At 43.0% G+C, this 26,535-nt stretch overlaps 1 protein-coding gene across 8 annotated transcripts in view, besides 1 other annotated feature; it reads left to right on the top strand.

Moving 5' to 3' along the window:
- Nucleotides 1-15,052, top strand: part of LEF1 (lymphoid enhancer binding factor 1) — a 121,385-nt gene extending 106,333 nt beyond the window's left edge. For all 8 annotated transcript variants that reach the window (NM_001130714.3, NM_001130713.3, XM_005263046.4 and 5 more), the window contains one exon: nucleotides 13,849-15,052. In NM_001130714.3, coding sequence (NP_001124186.1) covers nucleotides 13,849-13,928 — 80 coding nt within the window. In that variant the 3' untranslated portion in view covers nucleotides 13,929-15,052. The remainder of the gene's footprint in view (nucleotides 1-13,848) is intronic.
- Nucleotides 5,624-6,125: an enhancer, noted in NCBI's record as "H3K4me1 hESC enhancer chr4:108977631-108978132 (GRCh37/hg19 assembly coordinates)". NCBI's record gives its function as "activates a minimal SCP1, AML or CMV promoter by ChIP-STARR-seq in primed H9 embryonic stem cells {active_cell/tissue: H9 hESC(primed)}" and the evidence as "EXISTENCE:reporter gene assay evidence [ECO:0000049][PMID:30033119]".

Raw genomic sequence — 26,535 nt, 5'->3', positions numbered from 1 at the left:
GGAAACTTAGCCAGTACTTCCCGTTGGCTAAAAGATAAAGCACCCGCCACTGAGTGTGTGGGTCTGCCCAGTCCTGCCCTTGTAGCTTTGCCCCCAGTCACTCTTGCTCTCTGCCTCCCCTCACTTTCACCCTAGCCCTTCTGAGTCCTATGATCAGTCCAAACAAAATTATTAGCAGTTCCCCACATGGCAAGAGGGCACCGCACATGCTGTCCCTGGGCTTCGAAAGCCCATTTCCTCTACAGAGGACTGGATAGACGTGTGCAGTGTTTCTTAGGAGAAGAGTGTTTACTGCAGCTCATTTGGCTTTTGACTAAACCAGGTGGCCCTTACCTAAACTTTTAGAACTTAATTTTGGTGCTGAGGTTTCAAACAACTTGCCCAAAAGGGGCCAGCAGAGATTTTGGTACCAAATAGATCTGAATTTTAAATCAGTTGATTCCCTGAGCAATCTACTTCAGCTTTTTAATCTTCATTTTCCTTACCTGGAAAAGGGGAATATCGATACCTACCCCCTGTGGTGGTTGATGTGCAGGATCTGCCCAGCGGCCAGCACACAGTTGGAGCTCAGACTCACTCCTTCCTCCTACTGAGACCTAAGTCAATTGCCCTCTCCTCTGTGAAACTTTCTTCATCTTTATTCAGATTCCCCAGGTTTTTCCAAATCCCATCACTGTAGTTTTATGATATCAAAATTCTTCTAAACTAATACTGAGTGGCAAGCTTTCCTCCAGGTGAAAGGAGGACCATCCCTTCATATAAGATCAAAAAATAATATACTCATTTTAACTCAGTGGCTATTAATCGAGAACCTCTTCTGAGCCAGCCACCTGGCTCCATTATTAGAAGCACAGATAGGATGTAAGCATGGCTGATGACACCCACCCCAGTAGCTCATGGCTTCACAATAGAAGTAAATCTAGTCAAAATCACAAGCCTTGTAATTTTTTTTTTTTTGAAAAAAAAAATTGTTTTAATTACTGAACACTTAGGAATGGCCAAAAGTTTTTTCATGTTCTGCCTGTAAACAGAAAGCCCTCAGAATGGCAGTGTGCCAAGGGCTGGCACTCGATTTACCTCACTTCTGTTTGCACCAAAATCTGTAAAGCTAACTATTTATATTAAAAAGCATGGAAAAATGTATTTCTGTATTTCAGAGTTTGGTAGTCGATTTGGTGTTCTTCAAGATGAGCATCCTATGGTATTTTAGATGTAAAAGATGGCTATTTTTGTCCTAAAGTGTATCCCAAACATCTTTTTCTAGCAAGTCACAGCTGTCATTGTGCTTTCTTGTCACTTATTTATATTTTCTTAAGGTTAAGATGTTCTCTCTATCCTGCGCAAGAAAAACAAAAATAACCCTCTCTCTCCACCCTACCCCCCTAAAACATTCTCAGGCCATCCCGCCGCTGGTGAGGCTCCAGTTGGTTGAGCTTCCTGTAATCAGAGTCTCTGGTGTTGCCCTCCCTCTCATTCCCGGATCAGTCATGCAGCCTTTGAAGTCACTGCCCTGCACACCATCCGAGTTTGGAGACCAGAACTGGCAGTTATTGGATAAGAATTGTAGAGTAGAGAGGAGCTCAGATCCACCTTCATAAAGATTTCCATAAATTAGACATGATAATTATTTCTGTTGTACCCCCACCCCTTCCTTTGTTGTAGGAATTCAGAAACATTCTGTTTGTATAGTAGCTGACTTGTTATAGTCATGATTCAGCATTTATTGAGCACCTAAGATAGGCCCTATGGAGACTTGTGTGACCTGGAAATAGAGTGTTGGATGGAGCAAAGAAGGTCCCTATTCTCACAGTGCTTGTTATGTTGCTGTGAGGGTAGTTGATTAAAAAAAACAAACAGGAAAATATAAGTACTATAATAAAAATAAGTTAGGGAGTAACTTAGGGGTCTGCTTTTAGATTGGATTGTCAGGAAAGGCACCTCCGAGGAGGTGGCACTTAGAAATAACCACCGTTATTACAGAAAAATGGAGGGGGTCTTCTGTTCTGGAACAGAGCCCTGGCAAAGAAATGAAAGACAAAGGGAACAGAGCGTCACGTTATGGAAAGAGCAGAGCCCAGGAATGAGGCCACCCAGTCTCCCAGGTTAGCTCTTGTATAAATTTGTGCGGCCTGGGGCAGGTCACCTAAAGCCTCTGGTTTCTCAGTATAAGTGAAGGATTGTGCCCAGCGTCCTCTGAGATCCCTGTCTGTCTCTCCCTCAAGTCCAACTTTCTGGTCTGCTTTGCTTTTGTGTGGTCTGCACTGCCTCCCAGTGTTATTATAGGGACTCAGATCTCTTTTTTTATTTCCTAATTTATAGTCATCATTTTATGTCTGAGTGGCTCTGTATAACTATAAAGCTTCTGCACGACCTTGAAAATGGCTTATACATGATGGGGATGTTCTTCAGTTCCTGTACAGATCATCCCCTGTGTCCCTCCTTCCTCCCCAGGATGGCTACCTTGTGTCCTGGGATATTCGAAGCATTGCCTCTAGTTTGAGGGTTTGATTTTCCACTAATGTAATAATATGGTTCCTTGTTTGCCAGACTACAGTCATACTAGTGCTGACCTCACCTTAGAAATAGTAAAATACTTGATTAGAACCAATCCTCCAGGCTGGGTATGGTAGCTCATTCCTGTAATTCCAGTACTTTGGGAGGTTGAAGTGGGTGAATTGCTTGAGCCCAGGAATTTGAGACCAGTCTGAGCAACATGGCAAGATCCCTTCTCTACAAAAATTAGCTGCGTGCGGTGGTGTGTTCCAGCTACTGGCGAGGCTGAGGTGGTTGGATCTATTGAGCCCGGGATGTCAAGGCTGCAGTGAGCTGAGATTATACCACCGCACTACAGCCTGAGCAACAGAACATGGCTCTGTCTCAAAAAACGCAAAAAACAAACCAGTCTGTCAGAGTGTGATGTGGAATATCACACAGCTGGTTTTCAATTCTGAAGGGAAGTTGACGAGTAAAGGTAAAGCTAGGCTAGAAGCAGTGGCTCATGCTGGTAATCCCAGCACTTTGGGAGGCAGAGGGTATATACCATCACTTGAGGGTAGGAGTTTGAGACCAGCCTGGGCAACATGGCAAAACTATGTCTGTATAAAAAATAAAAAGCATTAACTGGGCATGGTGACACACACCTGTAGTCCCAGCTACTCAGGAAACTGAGATTGAGAATAGCTTGGACCTAGGAGTTCAAGGCTGCAGTGAGCTATGATTGCACCACTGCACTCCAACCTAGGTGATGAAGTAAGAACAAAAAACTTGTATTTTCATTTCTTTAAAGATCCTATGGGTTTCATGGAATGCTTCCCATTTTTTGATGGGCAGCGCCAGCGCAGTGGCCGCATGCAGCCCAGCGGAGAGGCTGGCTCCTGAATCAGTGCTTTATTCACCCGGTTGTGTTCCTGTCTCCCCGTATGTTTCTACTTTTGAGCATTAAAAAATGTTTCACCCTGGTGAAATCAGATTGAAACAAATAAATTACCATTAATGTGGTCTCAACACTGTGGGGAAACTTTTAGGATAATTGGAAATGAGATCCCTAAAAGCCATTCCTCCAGGTTGGAGATGGTGGTCCCCAAGCTGCAGGATCTTTGGGAGAGGCCAGATTCATCTGTTTAGCTTTTCGGACTAGTCATTTGTGGGAATGCTGGGAGCCCAGGGCCTCAGGGGATAAGACTGCACACACTGTCCTTTGTCCAGCTGGAAGACCGGTGTCATGAACACTAATCACTTGTTTACTCACCACGCAAACATTTAGTGAGGACTGCTGTAAGTCACGAATCCTGTTAGGCGGTGGGGGTGTTTGCAAATGAGATCCTATCCCTTCCTGGAGGAGCTTCAAGTTTAAGAAGATATAGACATATTAAGTGGGTAGTTATAAAAGAGTATGTTTTATGCTGTGAAGAAGTGGCATGCTGTGCCTTATATAAAAATAAAGAGAATAAGAAGTATATAAATCGGAGTGAAATCAAGGAAGGCTTCCTGTGGTAGATAGCACTCGAGCTGTCAGGTTGGTGGCGGAATTTGGGGGTTTGATAGCACAGTAATAGAATTGATGTGAGTTTCTGGTGTTTGGGATATGTTTGATTTGGAATACCACCTTAAAATTTGTCAGAAGTTAGAGATTATTATCAAATACTGAACTTTGCTTTCTTCCTGACTTAAGATTTATATGAAATTAAAGAAGTAAAGAATTATAATGTTTGAAGTGCTGGAGAGAATTATGACTCTGAGTTTACTAATTAAACAATTTTCAAAATTGGCTTATTAATATTTACTTTATCAAAACAAATATAAAAAGCCTACCACCTTTAAATTATATAGATTGAAAAGATATTTTTAGATACTTTATTTCTTTTAGTTGTATGACATGAGAGTTAGTTTAAAAGAAGGAACAGGCTACTTTTAAAAGATAAAAAAAGGCTGGGCACAGGGGCTCACACCTGTAATCCCAGCACTTTGGGAGGCAGAGGTGGGCAGATCATGAGGTCAGGAGTTCGAGACCAGCCTGGCCAACGTAGTGAAACCCCGTCTCTAACTAAAAATACAAAAAATTAGCCAGGTGTGGTGGCAGGCGCCTGTAATCCCAGCTGCTCAGGAGGCTGAGGCCGGAGAATCACTTGAACCTGGGAGGCGCAGGTTGCAGTGAGCAGAGATAGCACCATTGCACTCTAGCCCAGGTGACAGTGAGAGACTCCGTCTCGGGGAAAAAAAAAAAAAAAGATAAAAAAAATCATCTGCTTAAACACATTTGGCTAAATAAAAACTTCAGCCTTTATTTCCCTAGGGCCAAGAGATGAGCATGAGAGGTAATTGCTAAGCTCAATATAGTAGTTAATGTTCAGTGCTTGGATTTACATTTTTTAAGAAGATTGTTTCTGGCTTTTCTTTGATGATGATGTTCGAGAGCCTGATGAGGTGGTTAAGGGTTGAGAACTTGGGGCTCCTGGGTCCTGTGAAGCTGTGCTACAGAGCTGACAAGTTGCAGAGTGGGAATAGAAGCACCAGTGAGAGGACTGCAACCCTGAGGGTCTGCCAGGAGCTGTGCCTGGTGTCCAACATTTAGCCCTGTCCTCTTAGAGCAGCCAGGGAGTGTTCTAAATATTTTCAGTGGTCTCAATGAGAAAAATATTTATTTCCTATGATTTTTGAAGCTCACTCTGGTAAGTTTGACACTTTTGCCTAATGTTTGTTCCAAATTCTGTTCCACAATGTAGTCACCAACATTAAATATCAGTGAGCTGCTGGGTTATGTTTAGTTAGAAAACAAAGCCAGATTCTTAAAAATTAATAAAATTGAAAGGAAATTGGAGGCAGCTGAAGAACTCTTAAGTCTTGTCCAAGTCTCAGGGTAAAAATTAAGGCTTCAACAACTAGAAAGTGAAAAAATGACATCCTGTTTTCCATTCTTTATCTTTTGTAACATATTTAGAAAGCACCTCAGCTAGAATTGTTACCAAACAAGCAAAAGACCCCTGGGGGTTCAGAACTCTTGGGAAGGAAGCCTGCATCTAGGGAGGGGAAGGGGGATGTCAAACTGGGGAGAACCAAGTGTCGCACGGCAGCCAGGGCAACACGTGGCTGCGCAGCTACCCTTGGCCACAGGTCGGCACCTCCTGGGAAAACTTCTGCACCCTGCTCAGCACTGTCCCACACTTGGCCTGCAGTGGTTTTTTTTTTTTTTTTTTGAATAGTGGCCTAGCCCAGTTGGGGGTACCTTGTGCTGCCATTTTACCACAGTGGTGAGGTCCTGTGGAAGCGACTGCTGGCGTGCTGTTTATCTTGCATGGATTGCCAGATCGCTGCATAGGAGGTGGAGGTTGTGGTGGCCCGGAGAGGCTCCCATATGTGTCGTTTCTGGGAATGCTCCAGTCTGAGGTGACGGCCTACCTGTGTCTTCCTTCTTTTTATGCTTGTGTTCAGAAATCCCTGTGACACCTGTCACAGACTAACAGGAAATGTGTACAGGATTCACAAGGTGATGACACTTGACTACAGATAATCTCAGGCTTGGTTTCATTGTCTTAAATAGCAATGGCAGCATAATGACAGTGTGGTTAGACTCAGTTATGCGTGGACTGCAGTTTTTCACATCCTGGCCATTGTTCCAGGATCCCTAGGTGCATTCATGGGAGCCTTTTGATGGCAAGTGCCGGAAACAAATGGTGCTCACTTAAGGAGAAAGGGGAAATGTGTTTTAAGGATATAGGAGCATCTTGTGGAATCCAAGGACAGTAGAGCAGTTGGGCCAAAAAGAAAACTGGAAATTGGAAAGCTGTCCAGACACTTTCCCTGCTGCTTCCATCTGTCCCTCCCTGAAAATCACTTCCTCCTTCCCTTCCCAGATTGACTCTCTCAGTTCTCTGAGCCTTATGTTTAGAGCACTCAAGCTATATGTTGTTACAATATCATCTCCCAAAGAGACAATAATTCTTTCAAATTCTGTAGAAGCGACTCTGGTTAGCCCAACTTGGGTCAAACTTCCACCCCAATCTATAATCAGCTGTGGCCAGAGGAGAAGGTCACATTGTACAAAATGGCTGTCAGGAGCTCACTGCTCTAACAGTGTTGGAGTTGGGATAATGGAGAGGAGAGCTGGACAGCAGCCCGACAGATGTCCGCTATAGCTCACTAGGAAGCTGATAGTTGGGGTGGTTTTATCTAGACAGCTCTGTGTTAATAAAGAAATTGGGTTGGGTTCATGGGTACAGTGAAAGCTTTTAAGAATGGGCAGTATCCCTTCCATCAATTATCTTTTCTCTCCTTAATGATCAGAAGAGCTAGAATTGTGTTTAAGTTGCCTTGGGGAGCAGAAATAGAGAAATAGACCCTCAGGTAGCAAGACTGATCTGATGCCATTAAAAAATAATAGCAGAGGGAGAGGAGTATATGAGGTTCATTAAAACCCTCTTGAAATGCTTCATGTTTAGTATTGTTCATGAAAACTTACCAAATGGAATTAAGATCAATGCACTAGAATATAGAATAAAAAAGAAGTATTTTGGATAAATTTTGTTTAATAGAACTGTTTGTTACTGAGTTGTGAGGAACTGTGTGGAAATGAGCCCTTCTGGATAATGGAGTTTTTCAGAGAAGCTATATGGTTTACATCTTTAAGTGTCAAAACATGTAATTTTTCAAAGCACTTTTGGATGCAACTCTGTCTTCTTCAGCAGAGTACATTGAAATTGATTTGAATACGAATACCTCATGCCATTATTTTACAGTGAATATTATATATGCCACAAGGAGTATGGTGATTTGTATAATACTATTCTAAATGACCCCAAATAACATGGAATTTTAAGAAACTGCTTTTTAATAATTCTTTTGTGGCTTCCTTTGCTGTTTGGGACTATACCCTGTACCCACAATAATATGTTTCTTCTGATCTGTGTGGATTTAGGAACCAGGAAAATGAAGCTTAATTGAATAATATGTAAATTAAAAGTAAATGGGGTCTGATTTGGGGTATAGAGAAAGGCTAAAATGTGCTATTTTAAGAAAGGCTAAAATGTGCTATTTTTGCACATAAATTTCATGACATTACTGTGATACCTTGAGATAGTTTTAACGTGTTTTTCCTCAGCAGTGTTCTTCATAAATGAAGCTACCATGTTACTGAGAGCCAGATGAGTGGGAAATCCTGCTGCTCATAGCTGTCTGTGACCTTTAGCAAAGTAACTTTATTCTTTTTGACAGAATGAAAGAAAAATTAAAAGCATTAAAAATTAAACTCACTTTTTGGCATAAGGTTTACATCAATCTCTACACTAAATTTTTCTAACTGCCTATATATCGTTTTTGTGAATCTAACTTTTTTTTTGTATTGGGATTAGTTTTTCTCAGCTAGCATCATGCTTTTAGAAGCATTCTGTTTCATAAGAGATATTTTAATTAATTGGCAGAATACCCTGTTGGTCTTAATTTTCTACCAGAAGTTCTGTAATAGTATGAATCTTGCTTGCTGCCCCGAATGTGTCGTGTGAAGTTGGAACAGCAGAAATGGTCCCAACCTGTATGGACCACCTGCCACATTCCAGAGGCTTTAACAGATGCTTCTGCATGTGTTGCCTCCTCTCGTTCTGTAGCAGCCCCATTGTGGGGTGGAGGGGACAGATTTCAGTTCTGTCTGAAGGATGAGAAAATAATCACTTGTCCAGGGCCATGCAGCTGGCGAGTAGCAGCGCTGCGTCTGCAGAGTGAATTACCATCAGCTCTGAGCCCCAGTTCTCCATCCTCTGCTGTTACTGCACTCACTACGCTGCTTCAGGGCGTCTGCCCTGCACTCGCCCGGCTCTGCACATACGTCTCCCACATCCCGCAGCGCACCTGATGAGGTAGAGCAGCTTCTTATCTTCACTTTACAGATGAGGAAACAGGTTTGGTACGTTCAGAGTGCATGCCCGAGATTTCCAGGTGGTAACCGATGGACCCAGGATCCAAACCCAACCCAGGACTGTCAGTCCTTAGAGCCCACACTCTAACCCATACAAGTTATCACCTCCCTGTGCTTAACCAGATGCACAGGTGCACACACAAATGCTGGCATAACTGTGGAAGGGCTTGGTTTGGGTAAACAAAACAAAAAAAGACCAAAGTGTGCCCTGATCCTGTCACCTCATTTGTAGAAGGTGAACTTAACATCTTTAGTGTGAGAGAACGTCTGTTGAGAGAAATGTGGATTGGATAGCGTTTGGAGGTGAGTAGATGAGGGAGGTCTACCTAGCTAGTTATTACCCTCTGGAAGCACTTCAGCTGACAGAACTACAATGGGCTTTTGAGGCTCTCTCCTTCAAAACTTGCTCAAGACCATTTCTCCCATGTTTCCCGTGGTAGGAAGGATCTAGCGGTCATGACCTGCACCAGGAGGTCTGGCCTACCAATAGGACACATGTCCTCACAGAGGAGACAAACACAGAGGGCTAGGCTGATCAGGAAGAGAAACCAGTAGCTACAGAAAAATTCCCCTGGAGTAATTCATTAACGGTCACAGGCTTGTCTCAAAGTCATCTTGACATTGCCAAAGTCTGGTTGAGCTGATGGTAATTCACTCTGAATAGCCACAGGAGAGGAAGCCTTGCCTTGGTAGAACATGAATCCAGGAGTGGCAATGACCCCTTTCCTCCCACCTCCAGCTTCTGGGAATCTTTTTGCTTTAGAGCTTTGTGGTTAGGGGATTAACTAACTAGTCTTGAATGCTGGGACTAAGGAGTCATTCAGCTGCAGAAATAAAACTCAGTGTTAACCTTCCTAACCACACATTTTCATTTTTCTTTTTTCTCAAATGTTGGGTAATGTTTACTGTCAAGGAGCTGAAGCTGGCTTTTGTAGGTTATATTTCCAGTCTTAGGGACTTAAATTTCAAAGTTAACTTATGCGTTTGTTTCTCTTTATCATCTTTCTTCAAACAGAGCGTGATATCCTGGGGGTGGCTGCACTGTTACAGATGTAGACTGCCTCCACCAGGATACAGGGGTTGTTGCCTGGGGATGGACAGACAGAATGATGGAAGGTAGGAAGGAGAGAAGAAAGTGAATGATAATTTAGTTCCAAGGTATGGTGGAGAGAACACATGTTGAGAGTTCAGAGGCTCATCCTGCTGCCTATTAGTTGGGTGACCTTTGGCAAGTTACTGAACTTCAGGTAGCCTCAGTGTCCTTATCTGTAAGTGGGTGGGAAGATGCAAACTGTAATGATGATAATGTGAAATTCTAAAGTCCATGTCTCAGTGCCTGGCAAATCAGTGCGTAGTGGACAGTGTTTTTGTTCCTTCCCCCTCACCAGCTTCTTGCAGACAAGACCACCTTCAAGTCAACAAGACTGTCACTTTTATGATGCCAGGAGGCCTGGGGAACAGCCCAGCACTGGGACTCTCTAGGGGTCACCATGGGCCAGTCATTTTATGACCATATTCCTAAGTCTCTGCTAAAAAAACAGGATTAGACTAGCTCTGTCACGCTTGCTTCCTGCTGTAGAAGTCTGTACCTCTCTTCCTTCATACACACATGACATTGTGCAGCAGAAGAGTTCACACCCTCAAATCACAGGCTTTTGTCAGTTTTTCCCAAGGTGTAAAAATGGAGACAATTGGCATGAGGTGTGTGGTGTGATGCTGGAATTCCATTTTTGCAATTAAAATCTGTGAATCTGTTTACCTCTCATAAAACCAATCTCTAATATTCTCCCCTCAAATTGCACATCGTTTAAGGCTCCTGCCTCTTGTTAGTAGCATTTGAGAGTGGCGTAAAAGGAAGAGGACGACGAAGAAAGGGTCTTTTATTCCAACTCACTTTTTTTGTATCCTCACCAATTCTGAATAAGGAAGTGATATTACATGATGGGGCAGGGGTGCATTTTGTTCCTGGACACCAGCTTTGCTGCCCTTGCCTTGGCCTGGACAGCTTAAACTGACTGGCCAGTGAGCCCTGAGTGGCACCCTGACAGGGCTGGCCCTTGCCTGCTCCTGACCCTCCACTCCACCACCTCAGAGCTCACCCATAGACTTGTCTCCTTGGCCCTTTCTTCCAGAGGACAGCCTGGGGAGGAACCCCCAGGACATGAGCTGGCCAAGCGCTCTGCTTTTGGTAGGATTTTACATTTATTTGGGCTTAGAGAGAAGGAGTTTCCCCCTTTCCCTTTCTTCACTCCTGAGTCAGGGTCTGTAAAGCCCTATTGGCCCAGGGTCGGTGCTGTTGACCTCCCAGAAACAGGCCCACTCTTGAAATCTTTAGATTCACCTTTATTGCTTGGGCTTTTAGTAAGGAACTCTACCCATTTGGGTTCATGGTTCCATTTGGTTGATGGGATATTTTGTCAAGATTGGAATTTGGTCCAGGAGAGCATCAGGGGGGTTCGGTTATATGGGGTGGGGTGGGGTCTTGTGCCGCCTTTGCATCCCCAGTACAAATGCGTGGTGACTCCTGGTGGAGGGAGCCCAAGTCTGAACATATGTAAGATGGGCCTTGCCTCACTCCCTTTGAAGCCCAGCCGCAGCCGGAGAGCAGTAATTGCTGGCTTTGATTGCGCAGACTTCACTGGTGGGTTGGGCTGTGCCGGGGCTCGCCTGGCCTGGCCCAGCTTCAGCCGCAGCCCCCCAGTGAAGCCTTAGATGTGGGAAAGCTCCAGCCCCTGGAGCCTCATGCCTGTGGTTTCTTGAAAATAATCTGGACTGGACCTGTTTTATATCTGTAAAGCAACACTACAAGGCCCCCGTTTCTCCCACTTGGAAGTAAGACTTGGTCTCCCCTGACATCCCTGTATTTTAAAAGAGCCACCAGGGACAAACTGCCTCATTTCATAGTGAAGGAATTTCTTTGCTCTTTTTTTTTTTTAAGCACTAGTCCCTGAAAGGGATTAGTTGCTTTTTGGTAAGCAACTGTACAGAGGTTCTCTGAAGCCAACTTTCCAGGAGAATTTGCAAGGTGACCCCATGGAATAAGGAAATAACAGGTGGGAAAATGTGAGACTGTGGAAAGAAATGACTTTATTAGGAGATATAGACTCTTTCTTGGCAAGTGACATACTATCCTTTAGGTAAATGGCTATCTCTGGGCACCCATGTTTGTGTTAATCACTATATTATCACTTGTACTCAGCTTAAGAGAGGAGGAGAAGGCACCCTTAGGTAAGGCAGTGAAGGGACAAGAAGACTGGTGGAGCCGGAAGTGCAGGGTGCTCTAGATTGGAGGTGTTAGCCCTGCTTGAGAATGGGGCCACAGCAGGGCCATGGAAGTTGTCTGTACCTCAGTACTTCACAGTTCGCTGTGCCAGGCAGTGGTGGGATGGCCCAACAGAAGGGCAGGTTGTCTCCCTCAGGCGTTCCTGGCTGCCAATGGCGAGTCTATTCTGAGTCCCAGTGCTTGTCTCAGGCGCTAGCCTAGGACTGCAAGGCCAGGCCTCACCAGGAAACTAAATGTTTTCATGTCAGACTGAGAGGAAAACCTTCCCAGGAAGAGCAACCTGGACCAAGCCTTTGAAAATCTGTGATGCAAAATTATAATGTAAATAGGAATCTGTGGGGTGCCCTCTCTCCCACCCCAGGCTCTGCTAGAGCCCTGTTTCTTTCTCCGTAGAAAGGCAGGGTCCTTCGTAGCTCTTTGATCCTCCTGCGTGCAAGATCCATACCTCTGTGGGCCTGGCACAGCGAACTGTGAAGTACTGAGGTACAGACAACTTCCATGGCCCTGCTGTGGCCCCATTCTCAAGCAGGGCTAACACCTCCAATCTAGAGCACCCTGCACTTCCGGCTCCACCAGTCTTCTTGTCCCTTCACTGCCTTACCTAAGGGTGCCTTCTCCTCCTCTCTTAAGCTGAGTACAAGTGATAATATAGTGATTAACACAATGCTGTAGTGTTTTCCTGTTAAACAGGGAATGGTTGATTTTCCAGGAGAATAGAAAATGAAATTGTCATTGGAGGACCTCCTCAGTTGAAATCATTCTGTGGCTGATTTCCTCCTATTTTGTTTTTTGTTGGTTGGTTGGTTTTTGCTTTTTCAGTAGCTACCCAGGTATACAAATAGCTTCTTTGCAGTTCTGATCATCTTTAGGGGCCGCATTGGGCATAATTGGAATAATAATACTAGCTAACCTGCTTGCAGGGCTTGCTCTGTGCTGTGCACTTTGTGAGCACTTTAAATATAGGAGCCAAACCTCTCTTTCCAAAAGCCTGAAGGGCAGGTGTCCTCGCAGTTCCCATTCCATAGATCACCATCCTTCCATGGAAAGTACTCTGTGGACTGTAACTTGCCATCTAGACTTTTGTATTCATTATTAAACTATGTCAAAGTTTCCTTTTATTTCTCTTTTACTTTCTTTTTCCATTGAAATGAAAGTGTACGATAATCCACCATTATTTAGAATGAGTTTCTAAAAGGAAACTTGTGCTTGTAACACGGATAGCACAATCACAAGCACAAAGTGTTGGGATTCATCTGAGGCTGTCAAGGGACCCAGGTTGAGAAGGTGCTTCCAGCATCGCTGCCACCAAAGGAAAGCAGCCTCCCCAAGTTCAAAGCAGCGGAAGCAGGTGCTCTCTGGAGTGAAGGAACGGAACTTTGCCATGCTTTTACTTTCCTTTTGTCTTTGTCTCATCTTGTTACAATGTTACATTTTACTTTTAATCACTTTTTAAAAAATCTCAGATCATTAAAGCTTTGAGGATGTGGGAGTTCTCTTATTTGAAAATCATTATCACCAATATCTGGCAACATTATTTTAACATATTTGCTGAGTGTCCTTTCCGAGGCTATCATTAGAGATCCTTGATGTTAGGAAGGAAAAAAAAATCTTGAAAATTGTAAGATCTTAAGGAAAAAGGGAGCGGTTTGTATCCTCTGGGCTGTGAGTGTGAGCGGACAGAGCACATAGCGTCACGGGAGTTGGCAGTGCGTTGGGTAATGTGATTATGTCTGTCCTATGTAGAATCATACAGTGGCTTCCCACAGTGGACCAAAAACACCAAACACTGCAGAATGACACATCTTTCCCTGATCTGGCTGTTGCCCGCCTTCCCTATTCATGTTTGCCTGTTTCCTACTGGTGTTTTTCAAACTTTTTTTTTGTTCTGTTTACCATGACCCAGAGTATTCACTACACTTCACATCATAACTCTGGGCATACGTATACATGGAACCAAAGTAAAAATGTCACTATATTAACTCTGTAGTGTACTCTCAGGATTTTTGACTGATAGGGCAATTCATTTTAGCCATCCCCAAATTAACAAAATGGATTAATTAAATGCAGAGGTTGTAAGACATATATGGTATGGAATAGAGGTTATAATCTTAAGGCCTACGGCAAATTCATATTAATAGCATTTCATTTGTTCCTTCTTGAGGTGGAAAACGAAGCTCATTCCCAACGTGCAAAGCCAAGGCAGCGACCCCAGGACCTCTTCTGGAGATGGAAGCTTGTTGAAAACCCAGACTGTCTCCACGGCCTGCCCAGTCGACCCCAAAGGAACACTGACATCAATTTTACCCTGAGGTCACTGCTAGAGACGCTGATCCATAAAGACAATCACTGCCAACCCCTCTTTCGTCTACTGCAAGAGCCAAGTTCCAAAATAAAGCATAAAAAGGTTTTTTAAAAGGAAATGTAAAAGCACATGAGAATGCTAGCAGGCTGTGGGGCAGCTGAGCAGCTTTTCTCCCCTCATATCTGCGTGCACTTCCCAGAGCATCTTGCATCCAAACCTGTAACCTTTCGGCAAGGACGGTAACTTGGCTGCATTTGCCTGTCATGCGCAACTGGAGCCAGCAACCAGCACATCCATCAGCACCCCAGTGGAGGAGTTCATGGAAGAGTTCCCTCTTTGTTTCTGCTTCATTTTTCTTTCTTTTCTTTTCTCCTAAAGCTTTTATTTAACAGTGCAAAAGGATCGTTTTTTTTTGCTTTTTTAAACTTGAATTTTTTTAATTTACACTTTTTAGTTTTAATTTTCTTGTATATTTTGCTAGCTATGAGCTTTTAAATAAAATTGAAAGTTCTGGAAAAGTTTGAAATAATGACATAAAAAGAAGCCTTCTTTTTCTGAGACAGCTTGTCTGGTAAGTGGCTTCTCTGTGAATTGCCTGTAACACATAGTGGCTTCTCCGCCCTTGTAAGGTGTTCAGTAGAGCTAAATAAATGTAATAGCCAAACCCACTCTGTTGGTAGCAATTGGCAGCCCTATTTCAGTTTATTTTTTCTTCTGTTTTCTTCTTTTCTTTTTTTAAACAGTAAACCTTAACAGATGCGTTCAGCAGACTGGTTTGCAGTGAATTTTCATTTCTTTCCTTATCACCCCCTTGTTGTAAAAAGCCCAGCACTTGAATTGTTATTACTTTAAATGTTCTGTATTTGTATCTGTTTTTATTAGCCAATTAGTGGGATTTTATGCCAGTTGTTAAAATGAGCATTGATGTACCCATTTTTTAAAAAAGCAAGGCACAGCCTTTGCCCAAAACTGTCATCCTAACGTTTGTCATTCCAGTTTGAGTTAATGTGCTGAGCATTTTTTTAAAAGAAGCTTTGTAATAAAACATTTTTAAAAATTGTCATTTTATTAAGAGTGAAGTTCCTGATAATCTAAAATTGCTAATGAACTGAATCCACAGGCCAGGGCAGAGCTGGTTTGTAGAGAGGAACAGTTTGTGTGAGAGGGGTGCTGCTGGTGCAGCCTTCTCCAGGGACAGGCCAGAACCGGCTGTAAATGGGCACCTTGCCCTGTCTCCTAGACATGCAGTCCTCAAAAGTACTTGTATGGCTTGGGCCTCTCCCTCCTTTTCCAGGTGGTATGAAACAGGGTCAAAGGAAAAAAGAGGGTTGCCAGGATTCAGATGGGAGTGAGTCCTTTCCTGAACACAGATCCTCATGGGCTCCCACCATCTGGTTGTCGTGCTCATTGAAAGTCCACAGGTACCGCCTCTCTTCATAGCTCATTGGTATTCAAACTGGGCTTCCACATTGTGGGGTCCCAGTGGAGAAGGTATGTCTTAACACCCCCACCCATCTCCCCAGTCAACATTTTCTAAGTCCTGAGCTGTATTTCATAATTTTTACCTTACTAGTACATGTTATAAGTTGGTATCTGATTAGGAAAAAGTATATTTAAATTTAAAAGAATATGTCATGGTCTTCCACGATGGTTTTCTATCCCTTGAGCTACTTTGAGAACCACTATCACTGGTCCAACTTAAACCTCTCTGCTGAAATTCTAGCTCGATTTCCCCTTTCTAACCTTCGGTGCAGCTGGGGAACAGCTGGCTACCATACTTATAATAACCCTCCTCATACTGTACTTGAAGATTGCCATTAAATCACCCCTCAAATTTCTCTTCTTCAGGCTAAGTAATCCCAATTCCTTGAAACTTTCATCATCAGTCCTTTAATCATTTTCATTACTATCCTCTGGAACCTTTCCAATTCCTCTTCATTTAGTCCTAAACTTGAACCAGGGAAAAAAAAAAGTATTATGTTTAGGGGGCCTACTTGTTATAAAGGTTTCATATTCAGCCCTGGCCAGAACTTCATTTGAAAATTCTCTCTCTCTGAGTTCTCTTAACATGCATAAACCAAGTAGTTAAAAAACAGTCTAAAGCTGCCACCATGATCTTTTTGAGAGTTAACTAGAAAATCCAACAAAACGGTAAGGGAGGTGACAGTGGAGCATTATGCCAACACATTGATGGGCTCTTCTGGATATAGAGAGAAAGCAATTAATAATAAAAAAGTCTATTCATCAAGGCAACAGGCATAGCTGGATCTATACCTGAGACTTGAGGCTTGGCCAAAGCCTGCTCAACTCTTCTCTCCCTCGGTTCCTCCTCCTCTCAAAAATGCAGAGGCCAAGTCCCGAGTCTCAGGTGTGTATATCCTGCTATGGTCCAAATAATCTATTTGAACTTCACAAAAAATTGGTGAAGTTGAAAGAAACGGGTTGTTTGGACCCTCAGCCAGTTCCTTCCACAAACTTGGTCCCCTCCTAGTTTCCTGTATTTCTTCCACAATAATTTTTCCCAAATAACTTTGATGTCACTGCACAGAGCTCATTCTGGGCTCATTCTGCCCAAATCCTGCTTTCTGTAGGCAGCAGTTCTGGGGGAGAGTCAACAGTCCCCCTAGAGATAGGGATCAAAGCAGGTGTCTGCGGGGAGAGGGACACTCCTCTGGCCACTTCTTCTGTTTGTTTGATCTTGAAGGGATTTGGCCTCCTTCCCTGCAGCGAACTCAGAGCTGAACTGTGTGCCAAGAAGAGGCTAGGTCAGCCTTCTTTCTGGGAGCTGAGCCTTCTCTGAGGTCACAGCTGGCATGCGGGTCTGTATGAAGGGGTGTTTTCCTCCTGGTTCTAGTTTGGTTGCTAGGGCTGCTGGCAACTACCTGTTTAGCTGGAAGGTGACTTTGAACTGTTTCATGACTACAGTTGTCTTAAGTATTTTACACAATAATTTTTTCCTCTAGTTTGGTCTATGGCTGCAACAATATGGAAACTCTAATAAAGGGCTTATGAACAATAACAAGATGTCTGTGTGGCTGTGCTTTTAAAGAAGAAGAGTCATGAGCGAGTAATGTACCGTTCTGACAGAAAAGAGGCCCCTAACATCCGCACGATGTAGTAGTTGTTGAAAAATCGCATTTACCATTTCTGCCACAGAATGTGATCTTCCAGATGTGGAAGATGAGAACTTTAAGAGCTGCCCTGTGAAACCTAACCTCTAAAGATACACACACAAGAAAATGTGGACTGCTTTTTAATAGAAACTGTAAAATTTGATGGCAATTAAGTATCTTAATACTAATAGAAGGATGTGATTCTATACACCGTTTATACTGATTTATTGTGGGAAAAAATAAGATTGGTTTTCTTGGCAATAATTCAGTGGATATCATTCTGGAAGTGGCTCTTCTAAATTTCTTCAACTCTTTTCTGGGAAAACTTTTATTATCTTTACTCTGCAGCCAGGCGTGACTCAGGGAGCGTGTACCAAGGTGACTCAGATACACCTACCTCTACACAGGGTGTACTAACAGCAACTATTTAAAATAAACATTATTAGCACGAATCAAAGTAAACAAACTGTATACATGTTAATTAAAATTAATAATTTATAGTAAAACTTGAGACAAGTGAAAACTACTTGCCTTTATTGAAGAAGCAGTGCTAATATTGTTTATAGCATTGTTCATCAACAGTAAACTGGTGTTAAATAATAGATGCATTCATTCAATACATTTTTACTGAGCACTTTCCAATGGGCTATGCTCAAATAACTGGACACCAGAAAAATGTTTTGTATTGTCTGTCTACTGTAGGCATATAAGAAATGCCTACTGCCCGCATTTGTTACAATGTGCAAGGGTTCTTTTCCCTGGATGGTAATTTGGACTTAAAACAGGTTATATTAGGCAGGAGGTGGCCCAGTGAGGAAAGCCCAGGTTTAGAGTCCACAGAGCTGGACAAAATCTATTCATCCCACTGTTGGGAACGGCACACTAAACCCCTCTGGGCACACTTCCTCATGGGCTAAGGTATCACAGACCTCTGTCAGGGTATGTGAGAGGTAAAGGAGAGAGAAGCCTGACAGGAAGTGACTAGTAAATTTTTAATTTCCCCTTGAATTGTTTTATAATGTGTTAGAAAACATGTTTTGTCCAGTGCAAAAAATATCTTGTTTATATATTGCCTTGTAGCCATAGAACATGTGAGCTTATTTCTGCCTAGGGAAGCAGTGGGTAACAGGACTAAGCACTCTGTTTTGGAGTCAGGACCATGGAAGTACTTGTACAAAAGGTGCAGAGTTTGGATTTATTGGGTCATCTATACTGATGTGTTCATATAAATATTTTTCTTAATACATAATAGCTTGGGATGTTACCAGCTAAATTATTAAATTTTTGATCCCCCACTAAATAAGTGGGAGAAATTGGTAGAAAAATGTATTTGCCAGATGGAATGAGAACACTGCATACAAATAGATGTCACCACACATCATTTTAACGGTTTTCTCTGTAGTCACAGTGGAATTTGTAGACTTGTCATTTTCTCTTCTCCATCTATAACTTGTCTCAGAATCTGAAATCAGTGGAATCACTGAATTATATTCTACACCATAGTGATTTTTTTTTCCCCAACAGGAAGATGTATGAGGCAACCAAAGTAAAACAGATCCCCACAAGCTGGCCTGGTTGTCATTACAGGTCCTTTCAAAGTTAGTTCAGACTCCCACTGCTCAACTGGAGGATGGCAACAATGGCTTTAGAGTCTCGCCTGCCCTCCACGCTCAGCCCTGGTGACAGCCTTCAGCACTGCACAAAGCCAGGGCTGTGCAGTGCTCACTGCAGGGCTCACTAAAGCTCAGAGGTGCTTTGTGAGCAATCTCATCTGCTCGCCACATGCTGGCATCTTGTATAGGCTTTGCCTGCTTTGCTTCTCATGTTCCAATTAGCTGGGGATGATCTTTCCTCAGTGCCTGGCCCTACAGAGTGCAAACCCATTCAGGCAGCCCTTACGAAAACCACCTGGCTTTCAAGAGCTTTCGACTTGAATGAAAGACAATATCATGGCCACTGCAACTTCTTTTATACTCAGATCTGTTTAGATTGTCTCTGTTCTTTCCCAGGCCTCTGCTCCCTAGAACAGCATCTCTCAGACTGGATGATGAGATCTTTAGCTGGCAGGGATGAGGATGTCAAGGAAGTGCAGAGTCTCAAGGAGGCCATGGTTAATTGGGAAGGGGCAGGCACTGCAAACTACAAATCACGTGAATGAGATGAGACGTGCTGTCCTCTCCCAGCATTTGGGATTAACTATTTTAATAAAGGGATGCATTTAATAAAGGGTGTGTGTGAGTGTGCACACATGCACACACATGCACACATACACAAGACTTAAGAAGGGGAGGACAACAGAAAAAAAATCAAGATAAAAGTATTAATACCCTTACATTAGGCCTGTGATTTGTGATAACATTGTGCCAGCTAGTGGCAGAATCCACCATGAGACTCAGTGCTGAAAGGGTAGCTGGTTCTAAGCAATCTGTGTGCGCTGTTCACTCTGACTGCTCTGTGTGTGTGTGTGTGTGTGTGCACGTGCACGCACAAGTTAAAGTCTCTGCCTATCAATAGAAAAAGAGGGAATCCTCCCTAACTCATTTTATGAGGCCAGCATCATCCTGATACCAAAGCCGGGCAGAGACACAACCAAAAAAGAGAATTTTAGACCAATATACTTGATGAACATTGATGCGAAAATCCTCAATAAAATACTGGCAAACCGAATCCAGCAGCACATCAAAAAGCTTATCCACCACGATCAAGTGGGCTTCATCCCTGGGATGCAAGGCTGGTTCAATATACGCAAATCAATAAATGTAATCCAGCATATAAACAAAACCAAAGACAAAAACCACATGATTATCTCAATAGATGCAGAAAAGGCCTTTGACAAAATTCAACAACCCTTCATGCTAAAAACTCTCAATAAATTAGGTATTGATGGGACGTATCTCAAAATAATAAGAGCTATCCATGACAAACCCACAGCCAAAATCATACTGAATGGGCAAAAACTGGAAGCATTCCCTTTGAAAACTGGCACAAGACAGGGATGCCCTCTCTCACCACTCCTATTCAACATAGTGTTGGAAGTTCTGACCAGGGCAATTAGGCAGGAGAAGGAAATAAAGGGTATTCAATTAGGAAAAGAGGAAGTCAAATTGTCCCTGTTTGCAGACGACATGATTGTATATCTAGAAAACCCCATTGTCTCAGCCCCAAATCTCCTTAAGCTATAAGCAACTTCAGCAAAGTCTCAGGATACAAAATCAATGTACAAAAATCATGAGCATTCTTATACACCAATAACAGACAGAGAGCCAAATCGTGAGTGATTCACATGCTTCAAAGAGAATAAAATACCTAGGAATCCACCTTACAAGGGACGTGAAGGACCTCTTCAAGGAGAACTACAAACCACTGCTCAATGAAATAAAAGAGGATACAAACAAATGGAAGAACATTCCATGCTCATGGGTAGGAAGAATCAATATCATGAAAATGGCCATACTGCCCAAGGTAGTTTATAGATTCAATGCCATCCCCATCAAGCTACCAATGACTTTCTTCACAGAATTGGAAAAAACTACTTTAAAGTTCATATGGAACCAAAAAACAGCCCACATCGCCAAGTCAATCCTAAGACAAAAGAACAAAGCTGGAGGCATCATGCTACCTGACTTCAAACTATACTACAAGGCTACAGTAACCAAAACAGCATGGTACTGGTACCAAAACAGAAATATAGATCAATGGAACAGAACAGAGCCCTCAGAAATAATGCCACATATCTACAACTATCTGATCTTTGACAAACCTGAGAAAAACAAGCAATGGGGAAAGGATTCCCTATTTAATAAATGGTGCTGGGAAAACTGGCTAGCCATATGTAGAAAGCTGAAACTGGATCCCTTCCTTACACCTTATACAAAAATCAATTCAAGATGGATTAAAGACTTAAACGTTAGACCTAAAACCATAAAAACCCTAGAAGAAAACCTAGGCATTACCATTCAACACATAGGCACGGGCAAGGACTTCATGTCTAAAACACCAAAAGCAATGGCAACAAAAGCCAAAACTGACAAATGGGATCTAATTAAACTAAAGAGCTTCTGCACAGCAAAAGAAACTACCATCAGAGTGAACAGGCAACCTACAAAATGGGAGAAAATTTTTGCAACCTACTCATCTGACAAAGGGCTAATATCCAGAATCTACAATGAACTCCAACAAATTTACAAGAAAAAAACAAACAACCCCATCAAAAAGTGGGTGAAGGATATGAACAGACACTTCTCAAAAGAAGACATTTATGCAGCCAAAAAACACATGAAAAAATGCTCACCATCACTGGCCATCAGAGAAATGCAAATCAAAACCACAATGAGATATTATCTCACACCAGTTAGAATGGCAATCATTAAAAAGTCAGGAAACAACAGGTGCTGGAGAGGATGTGGAGCAATAGGAACACTTTTACACTGTTGGTGGGACTGTAATCTAGTTCAACCATTGTGGAAGTCAGTGTGGCGATTCCTCAGGGATCTAGAACTAGAAATACCATTGGACCCAGCCATCCCATTACTGGGTATATACCCAAAGGACTATAAATCATGCTGCTATAAAGACACATGCACACGTATGTTGATTGCGGCACTATTCACAATAGCAAAGACTTGGAACCAACCCAAATGTCCAACAATGATAGACTGGATTAAGAAAATGTGGCACATATAGACCAAGGAATACTATGCAGCCATAAAAAATGATGAGTTCATGTCCTTTGTAGGGACATGGATGAAATTGGAAATCATCATTCTCAGTAAACTATCACAAGAACAAAAAACCAAGCACCGCATATTCTCACTCATAGGTGGGAATTGAACAATGAGAACACAGGGACACAAGAAGGGGAACATCACACTCTGGGGACTGTTGTGGGGTGGGGGGAGGGGGGAGGGATAGCACTGGGAGATATACCTAATGCTAGATGACGAGTTAGTGGGTGCAGCGCACCAGGATGTCACATGTATACATATGTAACTAACCAGCACATTGTGCACATATACCCTAAAACTTAAAGTATAATAATAACAAAAATAAATAAATAAATAAAAATAAAGTCTCTGCCTAGATATGGAGATTTTCGGGTTGGACAGAGCTTTTCCATTTCACCCTCCTTGGTCCTACTACAAATTGGTGTGGTGGAAGGATAGATTTCTCTCCACTCCCACCCTTCCCTGCAACTTGAATATTGACGCTAAAGGGCTCCAGAAAACTACCTTCCCAGCAGCATATACCAAAACCTCCACATAGAATGAGGCAGTTGGAAACCACTCAAACTGCCTCAAGTAGGAAATTCAGTTTCAAAAATGCCATCCTCACTCCCTACTAGTTTTGGAGGCATCCCAATTTCCTGTCTTCTACACCTGCAATCTGAGTGGTGAAGTGGCTGTTCAAGAGCAGGTAGCAAGGGTAGAGTTCTTATTCCAGGAGGTTTTCTCTTCTAATACCTGCTTGCCTGAGAACAGACTACATTTTCTCATAGAATATTCCAGTAACTGCATCTGTAGAAGTGAAACTGAGGTGTCTCCATGAAGTTTATTGACATCATGAAGGGCTCCATTGCCACTCTGTCATCCAAAGGGATTCTACCTCGACAGACTAATTTATTTTAGGAGATGGGGTCTCGCTATGTTGCCCAGGCTGGACTCAATCTCCTGGGCTCACACAATCCTCCACCTCAGCCTCCCAAGAAGCTGGTATTACAGGTGTGCACCACCCCACCCAGCTTGACAAACTGATGTTCAAGTTAGCTATGGTATCCTCTCCCCTCCTTGATGATGAATCAAGAGCAGCTTGAATTTGTTTAAACCCTAGGGGCCATCCTATTGCTCCCTTGGCTAAATAATTAATAGACCTAGTAGGGCCTCCCACAATTTTGTTCTGAATAAATCTTTAGGAGTAACCTAATGTCATTTAAAACTACTGGCCACTACAATCCTAGCACTTTGGGAGGCCAAGGCAGGTGGATCACTTGAGGTCAGGAGTTTGAGACCAGCCTGGCCAACATGATGAAACCCCGTCTCTACTAAAAATGAAAAAATTAGCTAGGTGTGCTAGTGAGTGCCTATAATCCCAGCTACTAGGGAGGCTGAGGCAGGAGAATCGCTTGAACCTGGGAGGCAGAGGTTGCAGTGAGCCGAGATCGTGCCACTGTACTCCAGCCTGGGTTACAGAGCAAGACTCTGTCTCAACAAAATAAATAAATAAATAAATAAATAAATAAATAAATAAAAATAAAATTACATTATGATAGAATGAAGCATCATTATGCTCCTGTTCATATGCCACCACTTCTCTAATTACCATGTGTTAGGAGAATCTTGGGAACGTCTCTTCTACACACCTGCTGTTTGTCTGGGGTCTTAAATCATCCAGTCTACTGCTCACACATAACATGTAGCCTACCTGAGTGACAGCAACCCCTTTCTGACTAGCCCCGACCAGCACCTCTCTGAAAGTGTGGGAAGACCTTCCAGAGGAGCTGTGGGGTGGAGTGCAGAGCCCCAGCACTGGTCTTTTTGCCAGGTAGCCCAACTGCTTAATTTCTGAGACTCACTTTTCCAAGACTCAGGCCTGCTCTGAATCTTAAGCCTACTCCCTGCTGCTGTCACATGTTCAGGGCTGTCATCTGTAACCCGATGAACATAGGTTACTGGGGCTTCCTTCACAATTGGCCTATAGATGCTAGGCAGTGTGCTCAACACCTGAAACCTACTTCGCTTGGTCCCCAGCAACCCTATGGCATAGGTTCCATCCTTATGCCCATTCTACCAGATATACCCAGAAAACAAATAACTTCTCTAGGTTACACAGGTAAAGGCAGTGGAACTGAGAACTAGAACCCAAGTTGGTTTAATTGCAAAGCCCATGCTGTCAAGTAGTTGTGCTGGTTAATCCTGTAGCAGCAACTACAGTTGGTGATTTTCACTAAAACATTGAATAACATCAGTATCAATGACAGGGTTCTCTGTCTTTCAGGAGTTAAAGTCTGTTATGCCATGTCAAATGGTAGCAAGAAAAAAAATGCTAAAATAGACATTAAAACTGTGATGATGAAACAGTGAGACCAATTTAAAAAATAGAATTTACACAGCCAAATGGATTCTTTCAAAGTATAGTACTGAAAGCACAGCCATGATTTCATTGTTCAAAGCATTTTTTCGATTACTATTTATGTAGCATCAATGCCTGTTTATAAGAAAATTAGTCTCATAAAATTATAGCCACACCTTATACTTTTGGTAGACTTAATGAGTTACTTAGGTTGAAATGTTAAAGGGATTAAAATCAAGGTGGGGACAAGACAAAAGCTTGTTTCAAATATGTGAACGGTATAACTCACAAAGAAAGCATAATTAGTGTATGTTGTTGTATAAGCTGTGACTAACATAGTGGCTGTAACCTCTCCAATGATGACTAGTTGAATCTCAAATGGGTTTCTGAAAGCTGATGTGTTAGTCAAAACACTTACTATTAACGGAACCCAGTGGAGAGTCATTTTCTTTTTTTTTTTTTTTTTTTCTTATTTTTGAGACAGAGTCTTGCTCTGTTGTCCAGGCTGGAGTGCCATGGTGCCATCTCAGCTCACTGCAACCTCTGCCTCCTGGGTTCAAGCGATTCTCCTGCCTCAGCCTTCTGAGTAGCTGGGATTACAGGTGCCCGCCACAACGCCTGGCTAATTTTTTGTATTTTCAGTAGAGACAGGGTTTCACTATGTTGACCAGGCTGGTCTCAAACTCCTGACCTCATGATCTGCCCCCCTCGGCCTCCCAAAGTGCTGGGATTACAGGCATGAGCCACTGCACCCAGCTGAGAGTATTTTCTAACACCGGATTTGTTCATAGTAGTTTCCGAGTTCCAAGACATGGTTCCACCTACCCCCACGCTGTGTCATTGAAGTTCCCAAAGTGGAAATACGCTTTACAATTGATGTCAGAAAAAGTTAACCATTTTCCCCAGAAAAACTACTATTAACAGTGAATCTTAAGAACATGAAAGGGCCATGATTTTCATTTTACAAAGATATCTTGAGTTAAAACGATCCTTCAGAGAACTCCATTTTACTAAACAGAATTGAAGTCTAGGTGATGGCTATCAGAGGCTCACCATCTTTTTCAGCAAGTCATCTCATAAGTTGCCTGGTTTTCTTCTTAATCTCAAACTTTCACTTGTATTATAGGTAAATAAAAATATCACTGGCCGGGTGCAGTAGCCCACGCCTGTAATCCCAGCACTTCAGGAGGCTGAGGTGGGTGGGTCACGAGGTCAGGAGTTTGAGACCAGCCTGACCAACGTGGTGAAACCCCGTCTCTACTAAAAATATAAAAATTAGCTGGGCGTGGTGATGTATGCCTGTAATCTCAGCTACTCGGGAGGCTGAGGCAGGAGAATCGCTTGAACTCAGGAGGCGGAGGTTGCAGTGAGCTGAGATTGCGCCACTGCACTTCAGCCTAGGCGACAGAGCGAGACTCCGTCTCAAAAAACAAATAAATAAATAAAAATATCACTAAGGGGAAGCATAGGAGAGAGGAAAAAAAGTGGCCAAGTACGGTGGCTCACGCCTGTAATCCCAGCACTTTGGGAGGCTGAGGCAGGCAAATCATGAGGTCAGGAGTTCAAGACCAAACTGGCCAGCAATGGTGAAACCCCGTCTCTATTAAAACTATAAAAAATTAGCCAGGCATGATGGCACACGCCTGTAGTCCCACCTATTCGGGAGGCTGAGGCAGGAGAATTGCTTGAACCTGGCAGGTGGAGGTTGCAGTGAGCCAAGATTGTAACACTGCACTCCAGACTGGGCGACAGAGCAAGACTCCATCTCAAAAAAAAAAAAAAGTATCCTCTTGACCTAAAACTTGGTCTTTACTTTCAAGTGTCATAAAAGATTCATGACGGTTAGGAGGCAAGTTTGGGGAGGTGAGGAGAACCAAGAGCAGTGACACCAGGCCCAGCAGCACTGCCAGGACCCACCCTCCCTCTTGAACAAGTGCTGCCAAAACACAGTGGAGGATGATGCAAGGCACCTGGGGCTCTCACTGAGGCTCAGTTCTTAACCACAGACTGAAGCAAACAGCAGCAGCGGGCCTATATTTGGAAGCAGAGAACCTGACTGACATGACCTTCCCTCCCCCCGCCCCAAGAGCTCTCCGTGGCAAGCAGCTACGTTCACCTGAGAACGCAGAGACATGGAGTTGGGAAAGAAAAAGCTACTCCCTCACCTCCCATGTCTAAAGGAAGGATGTTCAAAATTCCTTCCTGGTCCCAAACACGGTGCATGGAAAATATTTTTTGAAAACGATAAAAGGATATTGAGAGGCTAGGCCTTTTGACTATTTGGTAGGCTTAAAGTGTATTTTAAAATGCCAGCCAGAAAGACTGCTGCAGCCCCTACCTTCTCATCCCGGCAGTCTGATAGTTGCAT

The sequence above is a fragment of the Homo sapiens genome, chromosome 4 (assembly GCF_000001405.40).
Source record: "Homo sapiens chromosome 4, GRCh38.p14 Primary Assembly".
Taxonomy (NCBI): domain Eukaryota; kingdom Metazoa; phylum Chordata; class Mammalia; order Primates; family Hominidae; genus Homo; species Homo sapiens.
Note: the sequence above shows the minus strand (reverse complement) of the source record. Positions and strands in the feature narration are given on the sequence as shown.